Consider the following 7,550-nt stretch of genomic DNA (forward strand, 5'->3'; position numbering starts at 1 on the left):
GTGCAGAACAATAAATGGCAAATGAACAACCACAAAATTGTTGCTGTTGTTAACCTTCCGCCTTTTGTAGATTAGTGCACCTATTCTGTGAGGGATTTGGGTTGTCTTCCTGAGGGCAACCACAAGCCCTACCACTGGATGCGGGAAAAGTCCCTTCAGCACCCACTTAAAAAATATATCTTCCACATTGTTCTCACCCACACATTTGACCTGGTTAGACTCTTCACCTAACGGAACAGACAATATGGCTGGGAAAATAAGTAAGTGAACATGTGGGAGAAAAACCATCGTTAAAATTGTGAATGTTCATTTTTAAAGGTTCCTTCGCCTGACTACAATATGAAGTATGTTTGAATTGTTGCTTCTGCCTGTTGTTTCTCAAATAAATGTTTAATGTTAATCATCTCAAAACTGACAAGAACACAAAAATAAAATGTAAATGCAGAGCCTCCTTTGTCACCCAAATCTGTGTCTATTTCTGATAGTCCATGGAATGTGGTTTTCTTGGAAGCCAGGGTTGGTCTCCCCACAGACCCTAGCCTAAGGTTACCAGTTAGGGACCCAGGACTTGGAAGGCAGAGCCTGTGAGCTCTTCCATCAGGGATCTGACTCCGCAAAACGACTTGATGAATGCAACTGGCAAACTCCCATGTTCGGACTTCATATGCATGAGCCGTTGGACAGAGGGTTTCTTAGTACATACTTTAATGCATATTTATGTGCGATCTTGTTAGTGGGAATATAAGTTTGTGAAGAACTTCTCATTTCAATAGGCAGTTAATGCATTAAAAGTCTGGGAATTTGGGGCTGTATTTTTCCTTTCTGACTCAATAATCTTCAAAGAATTCATAGGAAAGTCAGTATTTGCAGACAAGTGGTTAACTTGGCTAAAACGTACAAAACACTCAGAACCCACAAAACACTCAGAGGTTTAGAAGAACGTTTTAATGCTTAAGAGGCAGAGTTAAGTAAAGGGGCTATAGAAATCAGTGTCCTTGGCTGGGCAGTCAGGAGAGCAGGGCTCAAATTCTGTGACTCACTTCTCTGTATCTCAGTTGGAAATGAATGGGTATCCTGGTTCCCACCTTCCCACACGCTGTGATACTTCAGACTCCTTGGATGATCTTTTCAGCCCAAGATCTTGATTGTGAACATTAACAAAGAGAACAGTCATCCTTCATAGAAGATAAATCAGTAATGATATTTGATTCAGTGAATAAATGTATCCTTTAAAAAACATTTTGTGGAGGAACATGACAGTGGTGGAGTAATTACAATCAGATGAGATTGGTATTAAAATTGAGTAAAGCCCCAACTGTTGCCAGCTGACAATCATGTGTCCTGCTAACTGCCCCAGGGCTCTCAGCCTGGAACTGAAATAAATGTGTTACAAATGGTGCTGGATGCCTTTTTCAGTTCATTTGAAAACATGGATTTGATCGTGTCAGCTCCCTTTCTGTGGGGAAAAAAAGTAGGGTCCATAATTGGTGTTACCTACTCTGTTTTGGTCTTAGGGAAGAAATAATACTTAGATGTGGGCTTACTTTAACTTCTTGCCTTTTTCACACCCAGAACAATGCAAACTTATTGAAATGTGGCATGTGCGTGTGTGTGTGTGTGTGTGTGTGTGCATATAGCAGGAAGACGGGAAGGGTAAGGACCATCCTTGGAAGAGGAAGGGGTTGTACTTTGGTAACATAGAACATAAAACCATAAAATTTGGTCTATCCAAATCTACAGCTCCTTTCAATGCCCCATTTGTGATGAGCTAACAGGACGGAATCAGGTAGTTGGTTGTGGGTAAGAATTTCAGTTTCTCCTGAGCATGAGAATCTTTTTCAGTTTTTATCTGTCTTTCCTTACTCCTTGTCTACAAACTGTCCCTTCCCCATTGACCTACTAATAGAAGCTTGTATGTTAAAATATTTTTGGAGGACTTCATGACACTAGTCAGAAGTCCAAGAGTGGTCTGGTCTAAGGAAGACTTCATGGGGAAGCTAGAAAAAAGTGGAATTGGTGCAGGCAACATCTTTCTTTTCAGATGCTGTTTAGATGACATGGAGGAGATAACACAGTCTGTCAACAGGGAGCCCTAAAAGTTAAAAAACAGTGGCCAAGCAGGACTTGTGTCTTTTCAGGGTTTTGCCAGGCTCTAGAAGCATGAAATCCAGACAACTTTAAAGGGGGTGTGGGAGAGGAGAGAGAGATGCATTTAAGCAGAAATTCTTACAGCACACACGTTGGAAACCACTGCAGACTTCAGAGTAAATGCATAGTTTCCAAATCCAAATGTTAACATTCCCCCTTCTCTGTTTTTACACAAATGCATTCAGGTGAAGAAAGTGATACATTGGGAAAGGACACCTGCTTCTTATTTTAGTCCCAGGATGGCTTTTGCTTCAAGAGTCCCAACTGTTCCCTCTCCCCAACCCCACCCTTGTCCATGTAGCAATATGAATTGCCTGGCCCAGAGACCTAAACAAGAAGTCACAAATTTCTGTGTGATTTGGTTGCACTTGCCATTTCAACACTTAGGAAAATAGAAGTAATCAGAAATGACCATGCTGTTTGGAGATGAGAGAAACCCTTTTCAGGGAGAGATTTAAGCTGGACTCTGCCCCTGCTCTTCGTCAGGATTGTCTCCAGTTGCTGCAGTGCCTGGAACCAAACTCTGCCTCTTCCAAAATGCCAAGTATCCCCTCTTCTTGAATTTCCGGGTGCCACAGATGGCCAGGGTGATGACAACAGCCAGAATGGTGGTGGCTCCCACTACGATACCAGCCGTAGCCCCTCCTGACAGACCACCACCATCCTTATGGATGGCACTCATGGTGCTGCGCAGCTCTAATTGTTCTCCCAGCCTCCACTGGTGGGTCTGGGAATCTTTAATCTAGGATCTCGCATTCTCAGAACTGGTCACTATGACAGTGTTGGCATCAGCCTCACTCATAAGGGGTGGCTGGGTGAAAGGCGGGAGACTAGCAGGGGGAAGGAACTTTTCTGTAAAGAGCCCAGCCTTGACACAGTAGGACACTTGGCATCCATTGCTGATGAGGGCTAGGTGCTGGCTGAAGCCTCTCGGACACTTTTTCAGGGAAGGTGCCCCTAAATCTTTGGATGTGGCTGGAACCACCAGGGGTTCCCAACTGTGCAGCTGAAGAACCCACCAAAAGGGACCGCAAACCTGCTTCCCAACTCATAGTCCTGAGAAACGCATACCTTGAGGTTTTCAAAGAGTCTCCATGGAAAGTAGCCAGTTGGGCATGACTGTGCATTTGTCATGGGGTTTATGCTCTTGCTGTTGAAGAGGCCCCTGAAAAGCAGTCCTGAGTTGTCAGGTACTTGGCTACTGGCCACACACCAAAAAGCCCTAAATTCACCCTTTGCCGCCTGGAACACATCTTCACACACGGTCTTGCAGAAGACAAGGAGGGTGCACTTCTTATGACACTCCAGATGGTTGCAACACTCCTCGCAAGTCTTGGATAGAAGGTGCACTGAGGAGCAGCCAGAGGGGCAGGAGAAATCACCAGTGAGTGGATTCTTCTGCTCCAACTTTGGGCAGAGAACAACATTTTTATTCCCTGAGAACTGGCTGCATTTCTGATAAACCCCAACGAAAGAGAAGTTGGTCATTTTCCCTTCGCAGGAGACATCATCAGTGTTGGCCTGAAAATTGAAGTAGGGAGAATTGAGATCTGTGCAGCCAGGGTTGGTATTGAATGTGTAATAGCGTTTCACAGCTGTTTCCACTGTCTTTGACACCTTCTTCACCAGGGGGCCTGGCAAGTCAGGTAGCATGTTGGGGTTGATGAAGAAATGCAGCGGCAGGCCAGAGCGGTCGATGGCCACCAGGTGGTTGGTGATACCCTGCTGCCAGGCCTGGAGGGTGATGCCTGGGTAAAAAGGAACCCCTCCAATGCTCTGCACCCTGGAGTTGGTTCGGTTTGAGAGGTAGCTCTTGGTGAGGACATTCTCCGAGGTATGGTTTTCCTCAAATGTGAAGTTCACGGTGTTTTGGAAGGCAAGTCCAGCAGAGGCGGTCACAGCACTACGACTGCTCTGGCTGTCTTGGAAGAAGGAGGCCTTGATGTGGTCCTCCTGAATAAGAGCAGCCCCAGCGTCGACACTGGTGATGACGTGGGTGCCATAGTTGAGGACCAGGAGTTCTGCCAGGTAGGTGGCCATCCTTCTCTGGTTGTTCTCTAGACAGTCAGAGATGTCAAGGAGCTCCTTCCTAAAACCTGAGCTTAGCTCTAAAGTTGGGTTGATTTTGACTGTGTAGACGAGGTTTCTTACCTGAACTCGGGTAGTTATAGCTTTGTCCTTCACTTGAAGTGTTTTCATTCTCTGGAACTCAGCAGAGAACTTGGCATTGACTTTGGAATAAAGACAGAGATCTGTGTTGATGTAGTAGGAGATACTTCTCTGGTAATTAACTCAAGATTCCAGGATTTCTGAGTTCATTTCCAGGTTGCTCTGTTTCTGGAGAATGGTGAAGATTTCATCAGGGATGATATACTGTCCATCCTCAGTTGTCCTGCAGTTGGTGTAAGTCAAGTCCATCACCCATCCCATATCCACATTCCGCAGATTGTCCCAGCCCCCTCCAGATAGGACTTCCAGGATAGGCAGTTTCCAGGCATCCTTGCATTTTTGAAATCCAACTTCATCTGTCTCTCCCAAAGGCTTGCCTGATGTAACCCATGCTGCCACTGTCCAGAAAAGGATGGCAGCCCTGAAGCTGTTCTTGGCTCAGACAGCCCCAGCCACACAGGAGCCTACGCAGTGGCCAGCAAGCTTCAGGCAAACTAAATGGAGAAAAAGAAAGCAGCTGTGGATACAGTTCTCCAAAATTCAACAGTTCTCCAAAAGCTACCAGTTTCTCTTTAAGCTAATCTAATTGCAAAATAAGGAAATGAGAGTTGGTTAGAATATTAAAGTCCATCAGGACTTTGAATAATTTATGCCATGCTAAACATGCAAACACAGCCCTACATGCCTAACAGTTAACTATCCTAATTTTCCCCCAGCCCTGACTGGTTACTCTGCTGCAGGGGTGTGCACTTAGAAAAAGTGTGACCCCACAACCTACTGCGTCCTCCACCAGAAAGTTTGTCTTTTCTTTTTTCTCACTCTCTTGGACTTGATGTTTTATATTTTCCCCGACTGCTGTTTCCTGGGACTCCAATACCAGTTTCCTTTTACTGGAAACACAGAGGCAAATGACAACATCATCCTTACTGAAACACCCTGCCTCCACCATACCCATGCAAGCTGTAAGTCAAGGCCAACCCGGTTTCCCATTTGCCTGGGGGTGGAGGCTGTTTCCACAAAAGAAAGGAGTGAAACTCTTGGACACTTGTCCTGTGGGTTTCATTGTTATAAGCCCTAATAGTTCTGTCTTTGGGGATGACATTATCTGGGGCAGAGCTGACAGGGCCTGAAGAGGATTCTGTTAAAATATGCTGAAAAACCCCAGTTTGCATTGTTCTAAGCATTCAGGGTGAGAGCAAGGGGCACCTATACTGACCTGTTTTCTTTCAGGTAGAAATATTTAGGACAAAACCACACTGTTATCTAGATTTTGATTTATCAATGGCAGACAGGGGTCAAGGAACATATGTGTATATCTATACACATTTATATAGCCCCTGTGTGTATGCATTTTGCATGAAGTTGGTACCTGTCATCCTGTCATACCTTTAATTTTTCATTCCATTGCTAAGTGTGTGTATTCAGTTTAGGTGCATAAAAAAAGGTGGCTCTTCATTACTCAGTATTTTTTCTAAAAGCAACAATTCATTTGTTACATCATTAGAAGAATATAATTTCATAAATGTCTTTTCATATGCTAATGCCAGCTCTATTAGAGCCCATAATTTAAAACAATGTTTCCAGGCCCATTGATCTGGTGCCAGGATTGATTGAGACCCAACTCTGTTAATTCTTGAGGACAGTTAAGCTGTGTCTTAGTACACTTAGTGGTAGCTGGGGAATCCAGGGGAGTTAATGAAGCTCCCAATTGCATCCTTAACATTCCCAAAATTATACCATGTACCTGATGCGGTGTGGGACTGAAAAAGTCAGGTTGCAATTCACAGGTATCACTACACCATCGCCTGTATGCATCCTGGAAAGAAGATTCCAAGGAATTGAATTCCTCTGATGGTCATTGATGCAACTAAGAAGTGTTTTTAGAAAGAACGAGGCTAGTTGCCTAGCTTCCCAGGGTCGGCTTCACTAGTTATTATAAAAACCATGATGGTGTTCTGTAAATCCAGAAATATTGCATTCTGGGTCTTTTTTTTTTCCAATACAGGGTCTCGCTTATTTCCTAGGCATGGTCCCACTATGATCACGGTCCCATGATCAGCATGCGAGTTTTGACCTGCACTATTTCCAACCTGGGCCTTTTTACCCCTGCTTAGGCAACCTGGTGGTCTGCTCCAGGAAGGTCACCATAGTGATGCTGAACTTAGGGAGGACACCTGATTGGCATAGCACACTACAGCCCAGAACTCCCGGACTCAAGCTATCCCCTTGCCTCAGCCTCCAGAGAAGCTGGGACTACAGGCATGCACTACTGTGCCCGTCCATTCTGAGTGTATTTGTGCCACGGTTATCATGCTTCTGGGAGCTGGCACCAGCTATCAAGAGAGATTAATTTATGAACCAGTGCCCAGTCTATATTTGGCTAGAGAACCAAACTTTTGCAAGATCTTCTGGTTAATTTATAAATCAGTTAGTTATAAATATATTCCTCAGCAGCATGATCCCAGAATTAGAAAAATGAGAGTTGAATGCCCTTGAGTACTTCCAATAAATCTGTTGAAATATATCCACATTTCTCTTCAAACTATTTCTGGGATTGTTCATCAAAATTAGAACACTGTCTCACTTACACCACTTTGGAGACAAGCTGACAATTTGCTACCCTCTCCTTTCTCTTTAGTAGATCCTGTTGAGCCTTCACTCTCCTGAAATGAGAATACAAGCAAGGTTAATACAAATAATTCTATATTCAGGTGTTCCTATTTCTCCAGATGCCCAGTCACTGTAATTTTTATTTCTTCTACAGCCTTTGACTTCATTTTATTACAGAAAAAAAAGGAAAATAGCTAAAAGAACCAAAAAGAGTAAAATTACATTGTATTCATATGACAAAATATTTTACAGCCACCACAATTATTTCAAACAACTTTAATAGCATGCGAGATTCTTATGTCATAATGTTACTGAAAAGCAGTCCTGATCCAGATCCCAAGAGAGGATTCTTGAATCTTACACAAGAAAGAATTCAGAGTGAGTCCATAGAGTAAAATGAAAGCAAGTGTATTAGAGAAGTAAAGAAACAAAAGAATGACTACTCCATAGGCAGAACAGAGGCATGTGCTGCTTGACTAGGAATATTTATTGTTATTTCTTGATTATATGCTAAACAAGGGGTGGATTATTCATTAGTTTTCCAGGAAGAGGGTGGGCAATTCCCAGAACTGAAGGGTCCTCCCCTTTTTAGACCATATAGGTTAACTTCCTGACAACGTTGC

General features: G+C 43.7%; 2 pseudogenes; both read right to left on the bottom strand.

Annotated features, from left to right (window-relative positions):
• Positions 1-2,405: 2,405 nt before the first annotated feature.
• LOC643709 (macrophage expressed 1 pseudogene) lies at positions 2,406-4,813 on the bottom strand (annotated as a pseudogene).
• Positions 6,316-6,597, bottom strand: RN7SL435P (RNA, 7SL, cytoplasmic 435, pseudogene; annotated as a pseudogene).

Source organism: Homo sapiens, chromosome 11, assembly GCF_000001405.40.
Source record: "Homo sapiens chromosome 11, GRCh38.p14 Primary Assembly".
Lineage (NCBI taxonomy): Eukaryota > Metazoa > Chordata > Mammalia > Primates > Hominidae > Homo > Homo sapiens.